We start from the raw sequence: 22,601 nt of genomic DNA on the forward strand, positions 1-22,601 counted from the left end.
CCTTTCCTAGAAATTAGTCGAGTGGGAAAGAAAGATTCTTTCATCTCTGGTTGTGAAGATGTGAGTTGTAGCCCCAGAATTTGTGATGAATATGTTTGTTCCAGGTTAGATTTGCTACAAGATGATTATAAACTGGAGTTTACATAAGGATGTACACTAGGCCTTTTTTCCTCCCTCCCTGCCTCCCCCCTCCCCCCTCCCTCCCTCCCTCCTTCCCTCCCTCCCTCCCTCCCTCCCTCCCTCCCTCCCTCCCTTCCTTCCTTCCTTCCTTCCTTCCTTCCTTCCTTCCTTCCTTCCTTCATTTTCTATTATAACAAATGACCAAGAACTGGGTGCTTAAAACAACAGAAATTTATTCTCATAGTTTTGAAGGCCACAGGTCTAAAATTAAGGTGCAAGTGGGGCTAGGCTCCCTCTAGATGCAGGACTAGAAGAAAATTCATGTATTGCCTCTTGCTTATGGTGATTGTTGAAATTCCTTGACTTGTGGCTGCATCTCTCTGTCCTATCTGCACATCACCTTTTCTCTGTGGTTGTCTGTGTCAAAATTAACTCTACCTCACCCTTAGTAAGAATACACTCGAGTGCATTTAGACCCACCACAATATTCCAGGATAAATTATTCTTTTCAAGATATTTACCTTAATTATTTATTTTGGCATGTAAGGTAATATATTAATACATGATTTGCTATATAAGATAATATTTATAGGTTTAATTAATTAGGAAGTGAATATATATTGGTTAGGGGGCACATTTTTAGTCTAACATGAAAAGTATAGTAGGGATAACATGTAGGATTGAGCAGAAGTAAAGACTGGGCTATGATGCCATCTCAATGGGGACCTCAGTCAAACTCACAGTGGTAACTGAAGCAACGGCCTTACAGCATTGTCCAAAGGTGAGATAAACTGGGCAGGGCTCTCTAACCCTCGTCATCCAGTTATTAAATGTAGCCTTTTCCAGAAAGAATGCATCATATTGGGTGAGTGATTCTTGCCAGTTGAGGCAATTCTCAAAGATGGCTGACGACTATTCGTTAGTTAGACTCTCAACAGCTGATAGAACACTTTCTGTATTCCAGAAGGAGAAATTGCTGGCATTACATCACAGCATTCACTAAAATGTAAATTCACAGGAAAATATGCATGAAAGCCAAACAGAAACAAATGTAAGATTTAGGTTTGCCAAGCTCTAGATTCAAACTGATTAGATCTTTGGAAATCTTCCTTTGATTCTGAAAGTGATATAAATTCCTTTGCTGCAAATTTTTGCTTAGAGTACATATAAAATGTGTTTATGTTATTTCCAACTAGTCCAGAAAAATATAAAAAATGTACAGAAATATGTATATTTCAAAGCTAAACAAGAAGAACTGCAAGAAATGTACTAAAAACTGTCTCCTTATTATAGATATTAAGTTTAGTTGTATAGATGGTTTTTCTGTTACTGCCTAAAATCCTTTACTTGATAACATTTTCACATTATTGTCATAAGCAATACAATTACTCAAGGCTAGCCTCAAAACCCTGTGGTATAATGCTACTCCAGATATTTTCCCAGATCAGTAAGAATCATTCTCTTATGTGTGCTGTTAGAAATGCATAAATCTTGGGCTGCAAGTTGTGTCTTCTATGTCAGAATCTCAGAGTGGTGGCTTGAGAATCTTTGATTTAATACATGCTTTGATTTAATAATACATTCAGGTTATTCTTGACAGAAGCTTGTATTTCAGATTTATTTTTATTTTTTGTTTTTATTGCCTTTTAATAGGCATGTAGTGGTATCTATTTGTGATTTAATTTGTGTTTGCCTAATGATTAAATATATTAAGCATTTTTATATCTTTATTTGGTAATATATCTCTTAAATTCTTTGCCCATTTTCTTTGCATTGTTATTATTGTGTTTTGAGAGTTTTAATATACTTTAGGATCAAGTCATTTATTAGGTATATAATTGGCAAATATTTTCTCTTAGTTTGTACCTTTTCACTCTCTTAACTTCATGTTCTGTAGAACCAGAAATTCTTAATTTTGATAAACTCCAAAGAATTTTTAATGTATCACGTCTTTAATATCAAAACAAATAAATTTTTCTAAAAACAAGAGCAAAAATATTTCTTCCTATATTTTCTCCTAGAAGTTGTGTAGTTTTACATATGTGTCGCTAATCAATTTTGAGTTAATTATTTTCTAGGAGGAGAAATACAGATTGTGGTTTTTCCTTTTAAATTTTTTTGCACATGGGTAAATAATTGTCCCATAAATTATTATTTGTTCTAAAAGCATTTTTGAATTGATGATGCACCTTGTCCAAAATTAATTAACCACATATAGGTAGATCTATGTCAGGATGTTGTTTCTTCTTAAAATGTAATATATATATATATATATATATATATATATATATTTTTTTTTTTTTTTTTTTTCTATCTCACAATTAGTACAAAAACAGGCCAAGACAGATGAGGCCACAAAATATACTAGGGCATTTGTAATGTCCACTTTATTGTTTCATTGACTGATATGTCTTTTTTTCCTCCAACACTATACTGCATGGTTTATTGCAGGTTTAAAGAAAATTTTGAAACAAGGCAGTTTGAGTTATTTGAGTATTTTTGTTTTTCAGTTGTATTTTTTAAATAGCCAGTAATTTGGCTATTCCAATTCTTCTGTTTAAACAAATTTAATAATCAGTTTTGCAATTTTTTCAAAACATCTACTTAGGCTTTTAATTGGGATTGTAGTTAATCAACTGGTCAACATAGGAAGAATTTACATTTTAGCATTATTTAATCTTTTGAAATTGTCTGAAAACACATTTCTCCACTTTTGAAAGAGACTATCACTGAGTATAGAATTTAAATTGACAGATTTTTATTTCAGCCCCTTGACAATGTCACATTGTCTTCAGACTTCTATTGTTTTTGTTGAGAAATGAACTTTATTTCTTATTCTTGACCCTTTTATGTAATACATTATTTGTTCTTTGGATGCCTTTAATATTTCCATTTGTCTTTGTTTTTCAACAGCTTTCATGTTATTTTGTTGTCACTCTTTTGTTTATGCTGATCATGTTTCTTGAGATTTTGGGTGCCTTCTTAGATATTGGCTCTTGTTATATTTAATTAATTTTAGAAAATTTTTTGCAATCATATTTTCAAAACATTTTCTCTATTTTTCTGTTTTAGATTGCAACTACATGTATATTAAATGAAACAAATAGATAATGACATATCATTAAAAATCTCTTGGATTCTGTGTTCTGGATTCTCTATATTTTTCTTTATTCTTCAGTTGTCCAAGTTTTACCTATCTGTCCTCAAGTTTACTCATTATTTCCACAAATGTGTCAAGTCTACTGAGAGTTTTTTTTATCATTCTGTTACTATGTTTTGCATTTCTATTTTCTTTTTATTTTTCTAATTGTTTTTATCTCTGTGCTGAAATTATCTATCTCATCATGCATATTTTCCACATTTTTCATTGAAGGCTTTAATAAATAGTTATTTTAAATCTCTTAATGGATACTTCTAACATCTGCACTTTATCTAGATCTACTCCTATTTATTGATATTTCTTTTCACAGCTCTTGTTTTCTTAACACTTTGTTTGCCTCATATGTTTCTGTGAAAAGTTAAACATATTGCAAAGGACAGTAAAAAACAGATGAAGGTAATTTGTATTTATGCCTGGAAACTAGCATGCTTTATCTTTGAATAGACCTTTACTGTGGGGGCTTGAGTCGGTCTTGTCGGGAATTGAGTTTGGATTTTACTATTGCTAATGTATGCCCCATAGGTTTCAGATTCCATCAATGCTAACTTTTGTTTGTGTTGGGAATAGATTTTCCAAAGAGTCTTGCTCAATGTCTGCACAAAACTCAGCTTTAAGTTTTCTCTTTGTAGCTATATCTCAAAGAAGGTCTTACTTCATGCTCTCCACACGTTCCCCCAATAGCAGAATGCTGTCACTTTTTTTCCTAGATACTTGTTACCTTTTGGCAGTGGATGTAGACATTCTCTGTTACTCTGAGCCTTTGTTTTAAGCACGTGCATTCCTGGGTTTCAGGAGGGGGCTTATTTTATGATTCTATACTTTCCCCATTCTGTACCTATCCCTGATGTATTCCAAAGACAAAGGCTTGTCTTTGTTTTGTTTTGCTTCCTTTTTGTTTCATTTCTCCAGTGGTATCTGTTCCCTAAGACACCTTCTTTAAGAAGATAGGAACTTCTTGCAGTGGATGAGGCTTTTGTTCGATAGAGAAAATAGATCAGAGTGGAGTATTTTCCTTTTCTTTCATTGACTATGGTCTATCTTCCTCATCCTGTACCACAGGGTCTGTAGGGGATGCTTTTCTATGAAATCTCATGAAATTTCATCATGTCTCTAATCTTTACTATTATGGGTGAATAATGAGATGAATGGAGAAGAGCCACTTGTTGGTAATTGCACTGCATCTGTGTTTCTGAAGAGTTGTAAAGTCTCATGCCACCCCAAACTCTGCCTGTATCAATTTGTTAAACATTTTAACTGAATTATTTTCAGTGACACTTGGCATCTACCCCAGGTAAACAGGAGCTCTTATCTTATTTTTCCTTAGAGGTACATACCATTCTTGGATTTCAGGTTAGTTGATTATCCTCTGATCTCAGTTGTGTAATGGGCTCAAGAAAAATTGTAATTTTGCCTATTAATCAGAATATTTTTGTTATTAGGTAAAGATTATTGTTATTTCCATCTTTCTATATCTTAATGAGAGTTGATAGAGTCTGAAAACTGAAAAATTTTAGCCAATTCTGTATGAACATAGTGTCTAATTTTTCAAATTGGTCACCAACTTATGGTGGGGAGAAATAAGGGTTACCTCCTTAATTCAAATTGTCCTCACACACAGACAGACTGTCACACACACACACACACACACACACACACACACACACAATTTAAATATGGAGAGAGATAGTAGTGAGAGAGAGAGAGAGAGAGAGACTGAGATATCTGAAAATTAAATATTTAACAGGAATTATAGGGAGAGAATATGGAATTTTTTTTTCCAGAGTGAGATAATTTAGGTGCTTGTTAATAACTAAATTATTTATGTGGAAAGGAAGTTAAATGGGTTTACTATGAATAGAAGTTGAAGAATCCACTAAGGGTGTTTGCTCTTAGTCATGATAATCATGTTAACTAAAAAGTAGTGTAAAGCCGTTACAAAATAAATAAAACATCTTTACTATATTCTGATGAATGGAAACCATACCTTGATTGGTTTTTTTACTCTAAAAATATGGGATAATCAGAGAGAAAGAGAATTAAGAGGGAGAATTTTCTTATGATAAAAGCCTTAATGTTAGGTGGCTGGTAGCTATCTTCTCCCAATAGTTCTCTGATGGTACATATCTGCATGTAATATTTAAGAAAAATGCAAATGCTCAAGTCATATCCCATATCCACTGAATTTAAGAGCTCAGAGGATGGTGCAGAAAAGTTATATTTTTATAAATAACTCAGATAATTTTTTCTTCATTCAAGAATTTTGGAAAACTATTGTCTAGGCCAGTATCAGACAATAAGAAGAATTTAATGTTCATAGAGGTGAGAAAATAAAGATGAAATTATTTTATTCATATACAGATTAGTGAGAACTGTACAGACCCAAAATAATTTATTTAAGAAAGAGAACCTTGAAAGAAGTACATCAGATGACTCTTAAAATGAAAGCAATAGGGCATTCAAAAATATTAAGGAGTGTACAATTAAAGCTCTATATAGACCTTTATGCAAATAATTGAGTAACTCTTCCTAGAAACTGGGACACTAATGCCAAATATCATTAAAAAACCAAAACTGAAACTAAATCATTTGGAAATTTGGAAAGAAAGAAATAAAATTTTCCTTGTTTGCAGATAATATGATCTTGTATTAGAAAAACCTAAAGAATCCACAAAAGAACTGATAAAAAAAATTAAGTAGAGTTGCAGGATACAAAAATCAACATACCAAAATTAGTAGCAATTCTATACGCCAAAAGTGAACAATGTGAAAAAGAAATTAAAAAGTAATCACATTTACAACAGCCACACATAAAATTAAATACCTAGGAATTAACTTAACTGAAGAAGTGAAAGACTTCTATAGAAAAAAAGCAAACAAACAAACAAACAAAAAACACTGGTGAAGGACATTAAAAAGAACACAAAAAATGAAAATATATTTTATATTCATGGATTGGAAAAATCAATATTGGTAAAATGTCTATACTACCTAAAGCAATATACAGATTCAGTACAATTCCAATCAAAATACCAATGCCATTCCTCATAGAAATAGAAAAAAAAATCCTAAAATTTATAAGAAAGCACGAAAGGCCCAGAATATCCAAAGCTATTTTAAGCAAAAATAACAAAACTGGGGGAATCATATTACCTGGCTGCAAATTATACTAGAGCACTATAGTAATCAAAACAGTATGGTACTGGCATAAAACCAGGCACATAAACCAATTGAAAAAAATAGAGAACCTGGAAACAAATTCATACACTTATAGGCAACCCATTTTTGACAAAGGTGCCAAAACCATACTCTGGGGAAAAGACAGTCACTACAATAAATGGTGCTGGGAAAACTGGATATCTATGTGCTGAAGAATGAAACTAGATCCCTATTTCTTGCTATATACAAAAATCAAATAAAAATGGATTAAAAGCCAAAACCAAAGACATCAAACTATGTAACTACTAAAAGAAAACATTGGGAAAACTCTTCAGGACATCAATTTGGGCAAAGATTTGCACAAGCAACCAAAGCAAACATTGACAAATGGAATCACATCAAGTTAAAAAAGGCCTCTGCATAGCAAAGAAAATAACCAACAAAGTGAAGAGCCAGCCAATAGAATGACAGAAAATAGTTGGAAACTACCCATCGAACAAGGCATTAATAACAGAATATATAATGAACTCAAACAACTCCACAGAAAAAAAAATCTAATAATCTAATAAAATGATGGGCAAAAAATTAGAACAGACATTCCTCAAAAGAAGACATACAAATGGCAAACAGGCATATGAAAATCAGCTCAATATCACTGATCGTCAGAGAAATGTAACTCAAAACTACAATGAGATATTATTACATTGTCATTAAAATGGCTTATATTCCAAAGGACAGGCAATAACAAATGCTGGCTAGGATGTGGAGGAAAGAGAACCCTTGTACATTGTTGGTGGGAATTTAAATTAGTACAACGATGGAGAACAATTTGTAAGTTTATTGAAAAACTAAATTGAGGTACTATGTGATCAAGCAATGCTACTGCTAGGTACAGACACAAAAGAAAGAAAACCAGTATATTGAAGAGATATCCGCACTGTTATGTTTGTTGCTGCACTATTCACAATAGCCAAGATTTGAAAGCAACCTAAATGTCCATCAACAAATGAATGGATGTATTAGGCTGTTTTCACATGGCTATAAAGAAATGCCTGAGATTAAGTAATTCATAAAGAAAAGTGGTTTAACTGATGCACAGTTCTGCATGGCTGGAGAGGCCTCAGAAAACTTACAGTCATGATAGAATGGCAAGCAAGCCACATCTTACATGCCAGGAGGAGAGAAGAGAAGAGTGAATGAAGTAAGAACTGCCAAACACTTTTAAAGTCATCAGCTTTTCTGAGACCTCTATCACTATAATGAGAAGAGCATGGGGAAAACTGCCCCCATGATTCAATCACCTCCCACTCAGTCCCTACCTTGACACATGGGGATTACAACTTGAGATGAGATCAGGGTGGGGACACAGAGCCAAACCATATTATTCTGTCCCTGGTCACTCCCAAATCTCATTCTCTTCACATTTTCAAAACCAGTTATGCCTTCCCAATAATCCTCCAAAGTCTTAACTCATTCCAGCATTACTTCAAAGTCCAAGTCCAAAGTCTCATCTGAGACAAGGCAAGTCCCTTTTGCCTATGAGCCTTTAAAATCAAAAGCAAGTCAGTTACTTCCAAGATGCAGTGGAGGTACAGGCATTGGCTAAATGTTCCCATTCCAAATAAGAGAAAACAGCCAAAACAAAGGGGCCAAAGGCTGCATGAAAGTCCAAAACCCAGCAGGGCAGTTATTAAATCTTAAAACTCTGAAATAATCTCCTTTGACTCCATGTTTCACATACAGGGCATTATGATACAATGGGTAGGCCCCACAACCTTGGGGAGTTCCAATCCTATGGCCCTGCAAGATACAGCCCCTGCAGCTGCCTTCACAGGCTGACATTGAGTGCCTGCAGCTTTTCAGGTTCATGGCACAAGCTGTTGGTAGATGTACCTTTCTGGAGTTTGGAGGACGGTGGCCTTCTTACAGCTCCTCTAGGTAGTGCCCCAGTAGGCACTCTGCATGAGGGCTCCAACTGCACATTTCCCCTCTGCATTGCTCTATTAGAGGTTCTCCATGAGGGCTCCAACTCTTCAGCAGGCTTCTGCCTGGAAATTCAGGTGTTTTCATACATCCTCTGAAATCTAGGTAGAGGTTCCCAAAACTCAACTCTCATGTGTGCACCTGCAGGCCCAAAACCATGTGGAAGCTGCCAAAATTTGGGGCTTGCATGCTCTAAAGCAATGGCCTGAGCTGTAGCTGGTTCCCTTTTAGCCATGACTAAAGCTAGAAGGGCTAGGACACAGGGCAGCAAGTTGCAAAGCTGCACAGAGCAGCCGGGCCCTGGGCCCAGTCCAGGAAGCCATTTTTCCCTCCTAGGCCTCCTGACTGGTGGGTGATTCTGCAAAGATCCCTGACATGCCCTGGAGACATTTTTCACATTATCTTGGTGATTAACATTTGTCTCCGCGTTACTTATGCCCATTTCTGCAGCCAGCTTGAATTTCTCCTCAGAAAATGGGTTTTGCTTTTCTATCGCATCGTCAGGCTGCAAATTTTCTGAACTTTTATGCTCTATTTACCTTTTATACATAAGTTCTAATTCCAAACCATATCTTTGTGAATGAATAAAACTGAATGCTTTTAAGAGCACTCGAGTCACTCTTTCAATGCTTTGCTGCTTAGATTTTTTTTTTTTTTTTTTTTTGCCAGATACCATAAATCATCTCTCTCAAGTTCAAAGTTCCACAGATATCTAGGGCAGGGGCAAAATACCACTATTCTTTTTGCTAAACCATAAAGCATAGGGAGAATCACCTTTACTCCAGATCCCAATAAGTTGCTCATCTCCATTTGAGACTTCATTGTTTATATCACTATGAGTATTTTGGTCAAAAACATTCAACAAGTTTCTAGGAAGTTCCAAACTTTCTCACATCTTTCTTTTTCTGAGCCCTCCATACTGTTCCAACCTCTGCCTGTTACCCAGTTCCAATGTAGTTTCCATATTTTCAGTTTATCTTTATAGCAATGACCTACTACCTTGGTACCAATTATCTGTATTAGGCTGTTTTCACACTGCTATAAGGAAATGCCTGAGAATGAGTAATTTATAAAGGAAAGAGATTTAATTGACTCACAGTTCTGCATGGCTTGGAAGCCTCAGAAGACTTACAATCATGGTGGAAGGAGAAGGGGAAGCAAGGCACATCTTACATGGCAGTGGGAGTAAAGAGAAGAGTGAATGAAAGAGAACTGCCGAACACTTAAAACCATCAGCTCTCATGACAACTCCCTCACTGTCATGAGAACAGCATGGGGGAAACTACACCCATGATTCAATCACCTCCCATCAGCCCCTGCCCAACCCATGGGGATTACAATTTGAGATGAGTTTTGGGTGGTGACACAGAGCCAAACCACATTAATGAATAAAGAAAATGTGGTACATACACACAATGGAATACTATTCAGCCATGAAAAAGAATGAGATCTAGTGATTTGCATCAACATGGATGGAACTAGAGGTCATTATGCTAAGTGAATAAGTCAGGAACAGAAAGACAATCATCACATATTCTGACTTATTTGTGAGATCTCAAGATCAACACAATCGAACTCATTGGTAATAGAGAGTAAAAATATGGTTACTATGGGCTGCAAAGGGTAGTGGGTGGCAGGGGGAGGTGGAGTGGATAATGGATACAAAAACTTAGAATGAATAAGTCCTACTCTTTGATAGCACAGTAGGGTGACTGTAGTCAATAATATATTAATCCTATATTTTAAAATGACTTAAAGGATGTAATTGGATTATTTGTAACCCAAAGGATAAATGTTTGGGTGAATGGCTAGCATTCTGCATGATGTGCTTATTTCACATTGCATACCTGTATCAAAACTTCTTGTATACCCCATAAATATATACATCTACTATGTACACACAAAAATTTTAAAAAATTAAAAAATAAAATATATAATTTTAGGCAAAAATACAAATCAAAAATGAGCATAAAAATGTTATCTGTGAACCATGTGTTGAAAAAAAAAATTGAGTTTGATATCTAAGGGATGGCTCAGGAAAAATGAACCATGGCAAAGGAGAGCTTGGCAGGAAATGGAAGTTTCAATTTTAGGCACTAGTTAGATACTTTCCTAGTAGAAAGTAGCTGCTAGAGTAATGAAAGTGAACACAATCCTGGTCCCAGTCCATACAGATTCATCTCATTGTGGATGACTTAACAAAATTAAATAGAGGAACATTTGTTGTTAAAAATATAAATAATAAATATGTGGGATATAGAACAAAGGCTAAGCACAATAAATAAATTACAATTGAATAAAAGAATATTGATACTATGTAGGATGATAAGACAAGAGATCAACTAAGGGAGAAGTTTAAAATGTTAAAACACACACTAAGAATTGAACATTTAAAAAAAAATATATTAATAAACAAAAATTTGGAATAGATTCACCACAGACATATACTATCAATACTGAGAGAGGAGCTAGATACAATAATTTTGTTGCTTTTTAAAGTAACACAATTTGTGCAAGCCTAGAAAAATATAATAGCCAAGAAAAAGCTGAGTTTTTTGGAAGCATATATGACAAAGTTACTATGTTCACTCTTTCTCTGGAGGCACAATTTTCATGGAACTGACAGTGACTTCAGGGCAGGAGTCAGCTAAAGGAGTTTCTTCATTGAAACACATGTTGTCACTCAAATGGAAAAGACTGCTAGGTGGCAGATTTTGTGGCCTTCATAGTAAGTGACACATAATGAGAAGCATTGGTAGCCACTATCAAGAATCAGAACACGTAATCGTTCATCATGATGGTGGGGTGAATGTGTCAGAAGGAAAAAACCTAAAAGGTAAATAAAAACTGCAGCTTTTAAAATATGTATGATTGGACATCATGCCCTAGATAAGATTGTGGTTAGGAATGATGTTTGTAAAAATAGCAAAAAGTTATCAAGTGGCAATTTCAATGGGTGGAGGATTTAAAACATTTCTGTACTGTTTTTTTTGTTCTTTGTTTTTTTTATCAGTGGGAAATTCTTGTGAAAGTTACTGTATTAATGCCGTTTTCCCCATGGAGGTAGTCACAGGTTGTATACTCTTAGAGCTGTATATTGGTCTGGGTCTACCTTTCTCTTTTCTACTATGATCTATGATTGCAAGGAAAAGAGTCAGAATTCATCCAGTTCTGTATTCTCAGATAAGTATTTAAGTTGCTCAGAATTCATTTTGCTTTATAAAATAAATGTATGTATAGCCAATGCTTCAGTAATTTTAATACATTCTGAATTGCTTAACTGTATTAAAAGTGGAGGGCACATCGAAATTGAATACCCCAAACTTTCTCTCACCACTTTAAATCGAGAAAACTTTCTCTAAGCATCCAGATTTCCTACAGGCACATTAGTTCTTGACTGATGAACAGCAAAACATAACATAAAGACTGATATAAACACCCATCTTCATTTTCTTTCACCCTGTCTTTCTCTAAGAAGGAATTATCCTATACAATTTTAAAATCTAAAGCCTTAGTCAGGATATTTAATCTCATCTCTTTAGAACTTTGTTTAATTTCATACTCCACTGCTTCCTTTTCCTCTGTCCATAAAAATGGCAAAGACTCTCTGTGTCTAAGAATGTCCCTCATTCTTGCTGTCTTCTGAAGCTGCCTCCATTTCTCTCTGCATAGAAAATAGCCCAGGTCCTTAATCCCAGTGCAAGAGTCAGAATATAATTAAACCAGAGCTGAATGGATGTGAGAGAAAGGTGATGCCTAGTTCTATTTATCTGCTCTTTTTCTTCTCCTTATCCAGAGGAAGAATTTCAAGAACCATTTTGGTGTTTATGAGCAAAGTAATTGTCAGAATGACTTGGGTGCTTCTTAAATATTTACCTCAATTTGTAATTACCATTAAATAAAACGTTTTATTTTGGGTTTTGTAAAACAGAATCGCAAAATTTTTCTCAACTTCAGCCAGATGTACATTTGGTAGAAGAATATGATACAATGTATAACAATGGTATCACCATGTATTAAAACAAATCCAACCAATCATAGACTTAAAAAAAGACTAAAGCTAATTCTGCAATTGCCTTGCACCCCCTGTATTTTTTTCCCTGGTATTGCTTTGATGCCATGGAACCCCAGCCTTCCCCTCAACAGTCAATTAGAAACTTAATTTGGAGTCATTCTTTTATATATATATATATATATATATATATATATATATATATGTGTGTGTGTGTGTGTGTGTGTGTGTGTAATGTATATGTATAATATATATGTGTAATGTATATGTATAATATATATGTATAATATATATACACACATACATCTACACATACAGTTTTTCAGTTTTTACTTTAGGTTCAGGGGTACATGTGCCAATTTGTTACATGGGTCGATGGTGTGTCACTAAGGTTTGTACGAATGGTTCAGTCACCCAGGTAGTGAGCATAGTACCCAATATGTAGTTTTGTAACCTGCATCCCCACAAGTCTTGCATCTTTATATCCATGTGTGCTCAATGTTTAGCTACCACTTACAAGTTAGAATATGCAGTATTTGGATTTCTGTTCCTGAATAAATTCACTTAGAATAATGGACTGTAGCTGCATCCATGTTTCTTTAAAGAACATGATTTCATTTTTTATGGCTGCATAGTATTCTATTGTGTGTATGTACCACATTACTTTTATCCAGTCCACTGGTGATGGTCATCCTGGTTGGTTCCATGTCTTTGCTATTGTGAATAGTGCTACAATGAGCATACGATTGCACGTGTCTTTTTGGTTGAATGACTTATTTTTCTTTGGGTACATAATAGGCAAAGGGCATGAACAGACATTTCATAAAAGAAGACATTTATGCTGCCAACAAATATGTGAAAAAATGATTAACATCACTAGTGATTAGGGACTTGCAAATCAAAAACCATATTGAGATTCCATCTCACATCAGTCGGAATGACTATACTAAAAAGTCAAAAAATAACAGACGTTGACATGGTTGTGGAGAAAAGAGAATGCTTATACACTGTTGGTGAGAATGCAAATGAGTTTAGCTATGATGGATTGCAGTATGGAGATTTCTCAAATAATTTAAAATAGAACTGCCATTTGACCCAGCAACTCCATTACTGGGTATATACCCAAGGGAAAATAAATCCTTATTTATATTTTTACCACCTCTTCTTCACTGTGCTAAAATGTCAGACAGTTGGAAGTTCCTTGGAATGACTATCTAAATGCCAGACTTCAGAGGCCATTTCTCTGAATGTCAGCAATCGTACCGCAATTGCCCTCCAATTTTCTGCCTATCTGCCCCGATCAACACTTGAACCTGGAGGGTCAACAATTAGTTGGTAGTTATTCTGAGTGGACATGGAGAGAGAATGGGGGATTATATTTTCTTTTATTGAGACTTTTAATTAATATTAATTTTAATTCCACTTATCACTCTTAAGATATTCTTTATCTGGGTTTTTTTACACCTTAGTCTATGCAAGTATCCACATAGCTAAACTTTCTCAAATGTAGCCATTATTCTGCAAGCAAAAAACAAACAACAGAAAAACGAACAAAAAAAATCTTCTGGATCTTAGCAATTGAAACTGCTCTAATTGCTTTTATTTGTATGATATGCTGTAGTTTCATGCATTATTTATTTACCATAATTTTAACGGCTTCTTAAAAGCAAGAGAAAGTTGAAAAATGTTTAGGTTTTCATTTTGAGCCAGAAATTCCTTAAGGTGAACAAATTGCCTTGAATTCTCAATGTTAATACAAAATGAGGAAGACAAGGGTAATCGTGCAAATACTTGATACTTTCCAAGGGCCCAGGGAGAAGGAGAAGTGTTGCAATGCTTTGCTGTTTGGTGAGTCCTTTCTCTGTCTTTATAGGGTGTTCAACTTTGTTTATAGTAGATGACAATGAATATGAAATTTGTCCTGACAACATTCATTATGCTTAGTTCAGTGCAAGTAATCTTCAGGTTATTTGGCCTAAATCTACTCCCAAGTTTTATTTTACTTTTTTGTTAATGTTAATATTTATTATTATTATATTTTGTTGTAGAGGTCCACAGACTAATGCAATCACAGGGAAAATATAATAAGGCCTTTGACATTTTTGGAAAATTTCACTGTAGAGATTATTTTTATAGGGCAATTTATACTTTAATCAGAAGCCTATGGAAGTGCCCCATTTCTCTGCCTCTTCACTAACAGATTATTAGTATTATAATTAGAAACACAACTCTTCATTATAGAGCATAAAAATATACTTTGTTTCTAAAATACTTCAACTTTAAAGTGAATGAGTCTCACAATCACTACGTTTATTTTATCTAGTATCTTAACAGTAGCAGACTCTTCATGAAGAAAGGAAGTAAATGGACAGGAGCTCTCCACTCACTATTTCATTATAATGTACTTCTCTGAGCACTAAGAGGCAACCGTGTTAATGTATGGTGTGAATCCATAGGTTTCAGGGAAACTGTGAATCCATAATGTATCTATTTCACCCATATTTCTCTGTAGTGATTTGACTGAGGATATATACCATGAAGACCTGTGAGTGATTATATATATATATTTTCAATATATATACTTGTAATTAAAAAAAAACTTCCAAGTCTATTTAATCATTTCATTCAATAAATATTAGGATATTGTTTTTCCCATTTACCACTAACTCTGAAAACTTAACATGGCTTCTCTTTTTATTAAAATATGATCCCAACCTCTGCTTTACATTCTCGTGATGACTTGACCACAGTATTTTCACCCCATGACTCAAATTGTTATATTTCCCCTAACAATCTAACAAAAATGCGGATAGAGTTTCTAACCCTCTATTTTAGAAAACATTTTGATAATATGAGCTGTCTTCAGTTAATGTATATTTGTCATAGTTCTCAACTTGTTTTTATCTCTTGAAACAAGGTATGTTTTTCCTGTCAGAATCACAGTGGATATTTCAGCACATTGACAGAATTTAAGGAAAAAAATTTCACTAAAAATAAGCGGAACTATTTTTTAAAGGAAAAGACTCAAATTAATGGTAAAGTTTAACAGGTAGCTCAAGCAGAAGAAGTCATTTACTTGTTCTTACAACTTGTAATTAAGTGATGTGCACTCGGGGCAATCAGTTTATTGGAAGACTACAAGAATCATTATGTTCTAGCTTTTCCTCCTCCTACACGAATAATTAATATTCTGAAACAAAACATTGCAGGACACTCAAATGATGATTTTAAATATTTTCTTATTGTTAAGGAAACTATTCTACCACAAAACTAGTGAACAAAGCTTGTAATTGAATTGGGTATTTTTCTTTCTATTGTACAGAAGAAAGGCTTATTATTTCCAACTAAAAGATAAATGACATGTATTTCTCACATATCACATCATTTGCTTGTAAAACAGGTTTTCCTCTACAATTGACTTATTCTGATGGCATTCCTTGAATATTGACAGTTTTATGCATTCAATATTTATATGCACAGAATAGTGTTTAATTGACACATGTAATTAGATTTTCCGTCTACAGTTGAGTATAATTTGGCTGTGTATTGCCTAATTCAATGCAGCTTAGACACTGAAAATAATTTTATGTGGGTAATTATCTAAGTTGTTTAAACCACTGAGCTAATAAGGTGACGTTCAGGTTCATTTAGAAACTATAGTCCCTGACCCCACATAAATGTATGTTTCCTGTGTGCAAAGATAACAGACAATGGAGAGTACATGTATTTTAAAAATTTGTATTGTCTCCTGGAAACAAAATTCTGACTCAATCTTTTAACAAAAAGAACAAAAATATCATTTTTAAAGACTGAGAACATAATGGTGACTAATTGTGCCACTCTATATGTTGCTATAGTATAAAAAAATAGTTAATTGAAGATCTTTCTCCCTTCAGTATTTGTTTTTCCTCATTTCAAGAAAGTAACAGATCCTTTCCTACCACTTTTTTTTGGCAGAAATTTGTGCATTTAGGACACATTCAGAATGTTTAATTATATTCCTAAAGCTTATGATAGGAAATTTTATTGAAAATATTAAGTTCAATGCTTTCCAGGGGATTAGATGAGAATCCATGGTCTAAGAGGAGACCAAAAGGTTTAAGAGAAATTCATAGTTGAATGCATGAGAGATAATAACAGCAAACACACCGTTCATTGGAAGAACTTAAATAGATTAAAAAAACAATGCAGTTGAGGAATCTGCATGAGACACCTTGTGAGACTGGAATCTGGGCACTCTGTGCTGAGCGTTGGCCCATATTTTCTTTACTTTGCCAAACATGAGAACAACAGAACTGATAGATGTGGAGAGTCGCCTGGCTTCTACAACATTCATCTAAGTAGCAGCCATGAAAGAATTGAATCAGAAGTCTTTTGCTTCATTAAAAAATATATTGAGTCCTTACCATGCATTACAACAGTAAGAAAGATGAACACCAATTTTCTGCTGTCATCCTATAGGGCTGAGGGCAGACAATAAATCAATCAGTAAACTATGTAATGTATTAGAAAATTATAAATCCTGTGAAGGAGAAAGGTAAAAGAGTAATAAGGAAGATGGGGGTTGGAGATCAGCACTTTAAGAGATTGGTAGGAGAAAGTTTCTCTAAGGTAACACATGAACAAATAATTCAAGGAGGTGAGATGGGCACAGAGACCAAGTGCAAAAACACTTGATTGGGGGCTTCTCTGTAAATTTGAGGAATAGATAGGAGGCCTGCATGTCAGGACCTAAGTAAGTAAGGACAGAGTGATAGAAGATAAGGTTGGGCAGGTAATTCAGTGTCAATTTGTCTGCCGATTCGCTGATTTTTCACCAGATACTGTTGTAACCCTTGAAAAGAATCATGGCCGCTATGGTGACTGACATTGAATTTTAAGATAGCCTCAAAGGGTACTTGGAGTCTTGTTGAATTTAATTGGGGATATAAGATGGGGCTATCAATGCTTTGGGGAAAAAATTGTTATGCGCACTGTTAATATCCACTGTACATGCCTTCCTGCTGGTATATCCCTATACACTCCTCTCAAGAAGTAATTATATCCTTAATTGAGTGTTAATCATTGCTTTATATTTTAAAATATAGTATGTTGATATATGTAGCTATAATGTATTCATTTTCATTGCTCCCTTGGAATCAATTTTCTGAACATAACTCAGGTTATTTACCCATACCCCCATTGAGCCCATAGCCCCATTGAGCCCATACCCCCATTGAGGAACATTGTTATTATGTCCATTTTTTCTCCAATGTAAATGATGCTGATATGAACATTTTTGCATCTTTGTATTATCTCCTTATTCAAATTTTAAAGCATTTCTTAAAGGTATATATCTAACAATGTTGTGGGTCATAAAACAGGTGCATTTTAAAACTTTCTAAATCAAGTTACATTTCTCTCTATATTTGCTACACTGATATCATCCACATTCTAGGATAAAGTCATTTTTTCTAGGCAGTGGTTCCCAATAGTTTTAAGATTGCAATTGGAGCAGGTAATATTTACAATTTTCCTGACTGTCCTGTGTATTACTGAAAATTCACTGCACGTTCTTGACCACTAAATGCCTTCCAGACCTCCAGTATGTCATTTAAAAAACCCAGAAGTAAGCCTTCTCCTTCACATTTCTAAACCTTTGGCAATAGTTGGTATTTTAACTTATTTTTAAATATTTCCTATCTTTTCGTGGAGATTCTACATGCCCATCTAATGAATGTGTATTGCGTTTATCTGGAATTCCTTTGTATTTTTTTAATCAGTATACTCCATGCCTCTGGAATCTAATTCATCCCATAATGTGTGGTGAACACACGGGTTGGCTATATTTTGAGAAATTTCCCAGAATATTTTAAATATAGGTTCCTTCTAATTAATTCCTGGTTTATCAATTTGCTCATTTCCTCTGTTGCTCTTTTGGTTGAGATCATATATATATTTCTGTGGGATACTTGTGTTTATCAATTTTCTTTTGTCCATTCTTAAATTACTTTTGATGAGGATTACCTATTTATTGAATCATTTGCACATATTCAACATCAAATTTAAGTCAAATATCACTTTTTAAATGGATTTTGTAACGATTGTAGAAAGAAGGTTTATTTTGTCTTTGTTTTATGTGTTGTCCTTCGTAGTGACTGCTAAATTTTTATGTCAAATAAAATCTAAAGCATTGTGCCAGGTAATTTTACGTTTCTTAGAGAGTTAGATAAGAGGAAATAGAATCCACATTCAAGTTATACAGGATGATAAAGTAGTCAGAATGCCCTAAAATAGCTTTCTTAAATTTGTCAGTTATCTGAAGAAAATAGATCTTTCAAGAGCCATTTAAATATTCAAGACTGAATCTGACTTGGAAAGATTGGTGTTAGTCTATTCAGGATGGTAACTATTTTATATATGTTGTAATTTTAGAAGGGTTCAAAATCAGAAAAGTTTAAAGTAAATTAATAAAAAACTGTTCAATCAGATGTGATTGAGATGATGATTTGAGAAAAGGAGAAGGTCAAGGAATAGATAGACCTGGAGAAGCTGGTTAAATCACACTTTCAGAATCATTACATAGAAGAAATTACGATTACTCTAAAATGGGGTTAGTAAAGTTGGGATCCTTACATTTTTTAACTTGCTTTACTTTCCTTCTAATAACTGTGTAAAAATAAATTTCAATGAATAAAGAGAATGCACCTTAATAACATGTTCCAGAAAACCCCTATCATTATATCCAGAATTGTTCTACTTTTAATGCCAATGTAGTGTCAGGAACTGAGATTAAAAAAAAAAACACTCTACTGTGGAAATTTTAATGAACATTTATAGACAAGTATTAGTCTTAGCAGGATTCTGGTTTCAGATACTCCCTGCTACTGTAGTCAATATATTATTATGGTAGCTGCTTGCTGAATGTCATATGCTTATTTCATGCCATCATTTTCTTCCCTAGTTATTTATTGGGAGGTTTTGCCAGAGCATGAGTTATATTCATTACTCTGAAAACTAGATGGGTTTGAAACCATTTGACAAACAGAACTTTATATAAATTAACACATAGTAAAATAATTATCAATTTTCCTTAGATAACGATTTTAATAAGAGAGGAATTGTTAAAGCAAGAGATAGAATCAACAATATCAGTCAATTAGAGTTTAAAAAGTCTAGTTTAATTTTCTGTTATTTTGTTTAAAAATTTAAGTTTATCATTGACATATATTTAGCTAGTTCTGTGATAATAATGGTATATATTTTCCAATATGTTATATTTTCTGTGCATAAAATCTTTTGTTTGTGAATCTCAACATTTTTATAATAAAACATTTATGTATATAAAGAAATGTAATAATCTTAACTTTATGACTATTTTAAAACTATTTTCATAAAATGCACAGGAACAAATCACAAACTTACTGTATTATATTTCTCATGGTCAGAAGTTTGAAATAAATTTTATTAGGCTAAAATCAAGGTGTCACCAGGGCTGCATTCTTTCTATAGAGTCCATTGGAGAACCTGTTTGCTTGCCTTTGAATTATTTTACCATTGTTTTTTAAGACTGTATTTTTTATTTTAAATAAGAGATGGAGTCTCACTCTATTATCCAGTCTGGAGTACAATTGCATGATCATAGCTCACTAGAGCTTCAAACTCCTTGGATCAAGTGATCCTCTCACCTCAGCCTCCCTGTGCCTACATGTGTGTGCCACCATGCCCAGCTAACTTTTATTTATTTTTATTAGATATGGTGTCTTGCTATGTTGCCCAGGTGAAGACTGTATTTTTAGAGCAGTTTTAGATTTACAGCAACATTAAGAAGGAAGTACAGAGATTTTTTATGAATCCCCTGCAACTGTTTTCTTTTATTTTACTAAAGACTGGCCTGTAATTTCTGTTTTAAATCACTGGTTATCTTCAACTTGGAAAATTTTTTCAGTTGCTATTCTGATGAAATTAGTTCTTCCAGTGTATGACATTGTGGTTGATGTTACGTTTTCTTTGATTCAAATTCAAGGTGTCAGAGATGGGGTAAAATGGTGAAATAGAAGGCTCTACCAGTTACCCCCAACTACCCACAAGGACAAAATTTAACAAATATGTACACAAGAAAAGCACCTTCATAAGAAGTAAAAATCAGTTAAGCCCTCACAGTACCTGGTTTTGAATTCACATCGCTGAAAGAAGCACTGAATAGGTAAGAAAAACAGTATTGAATCGCTGACATCACCTGTCCCCCTGCAATCAGCCACCCACAAAGGGACCATATAAAATAGCCCTGGCCATAGTGGAACTGCCAATAATAGCAGTAGAAATTGAGTTACCACAAGCCTTGCCACCACAGGCTACAGTGCCCTGGGGCCCTAATAAACTTAAAAGGCTGTCTAAGCTACAAGGTCTGCAACTTTTGCACAAGTCCTACTGCTGAATTGTGCTCAGAGACAGTAGACACGGGGGAATAGGTGATCTACTGCGACACCAGCTGGAGCAGCTAATGGAGTATTGGCATCATTCCTCCCTTAACATGAGGCTGCATAGTTTATGATTCCAAAAGAGACTACTTCTGGCTGGGCACAGTGGCTCACGCCTGTAATCCCAGCATTTTGGGAGGCTAAGGCAGGCAGATCACGAGGTCAGGAGTTCGAGACCAGCCTGACCAATATGGTGAATCCCCATCCCTACTAATAATACAAAAAGTACCCGGGTGTGGTGGTGCATGCCTGTAGTCCCAGCTACTTGGGAGGCTGAGGCAGGAGAATCACTTGAACCCGGGAGGTGGAGGTTGCAGTGGGCCGAGATTGCCCACTGCATTCCAGCCTGGGTGACAGAGTGAAACTCCATCTCAAAAAAAAAAAAAAAAAAAAAAAAAGAGAGACTACTACTTTCCTTTTGAGGAAAGGAGAGGGAAGAGTGAGAAGTATTTTGTCTTGTGTATTGGATACCAACTCAGCCACAGAAGGACAGGGCATCTGGGCATCTATCACAGTCATGAGACATTCTTTCCAAGCCCTACCTCCTAGACGACATTTCTATGAACACACCCTTAGGCAGAAAGAAATCTGCTGCCTTGAAGAGAAAGACCCAGTCTCAGCAGGATTTATCACATTCTAACTGAAGAGCCCCTTGGCCCTGAATGAGCAGTGACACCAGGTACTATGTCAAGGGCTTTGGGTGAGGCTCTGAGACTTTCTGGCCTCAGAAGAGGCTTAGCACATTCCCAGATATGGTGGCTATTTGGTGAGACAGTTTCTGCTTGAGAAAAGTAGAGGAAAAAGTAAAGGGGACTTTGTCTTGAACTTTAGGTACCTGCTCAACCACAGGGAGATAGAGCACCAAGAAAGCACTTGGGGTCCCTAATTCCAGGACATGGCTTTTGGATGCCATTGATGTACCTGCCCAGGGCCAGAAGGGAACCTATTGCCTAGCAGGGTGAGTCAGGGTGATTCCCAGTCCAGGCAGCATTTATAATGTGTTTATCCAAGTGCCCCAGAGCCTTAAAAGGATATCAGCAGTAGTCTGGCAGCACTGTCCTTGGACCTGTGGTGGCAGTGGCCACAGGATGGGGTTCCTTTGTCTTTGGAAAAGGAAAGAAATTGTGGGAATGACTGCTTCTTGTGGTTTGAGAGCCAGTTCAACCTTAATACAATAGAATTCCAGGGAGACTTCTAAGGTTTTGACCCTAGTCCCTGACTTCCAGATGGCATTTCTGGACCCACTCAGGGCCTGGGGGACCTCACTGCCTTGAAGGGAAAAACACAGGCCTGGCTAGCTTTGCCACTTGGTAAGTGTAGTGGAAGAGAACAAAAGTATCTCCCTGGTAATCTAGAGAATCATCACAGATTTTGTCCAACACCATCAAGCCAGTACCTATACAAGTTTGCAAGAACCACATTATTACTGGGCTTGGTTCCATATCTTTAAAGCAGGTACAGCTTAGATCACAACACCAAGTCCTTGTGAATATCTGGAAAGCCTTTTCAAGAAGTACAGGTACCCAGACAGTGACAACTATATGCCTAACTCTTCAATGCCCGGAAGAAGACAAACATCTACAAGTATCAATACATTCCAGAAAAAAAAAAAAAACCAACCTTAGCAGATGAACTAAATAAAGCACCAGAGACCAATCCTGGAGAAACAGAGGTATGTGATCATTGAAACAGAGAGTTCAAAGTAGCTGTT

The sequence above is a fragment of the Homo sapiens genome, chromosome 3, assembly GCF_000001405.40.
Source record: "Homo sapiens chromosome 3, GRCh38.p14 Primary Assembly".
Classification (NCBI taxonomy): domain Eukaryota; kingdom Metazoa; phylum Chordata; class Mammalia; order Primates; family Hominidae; genus Homo; species Homo sapiens.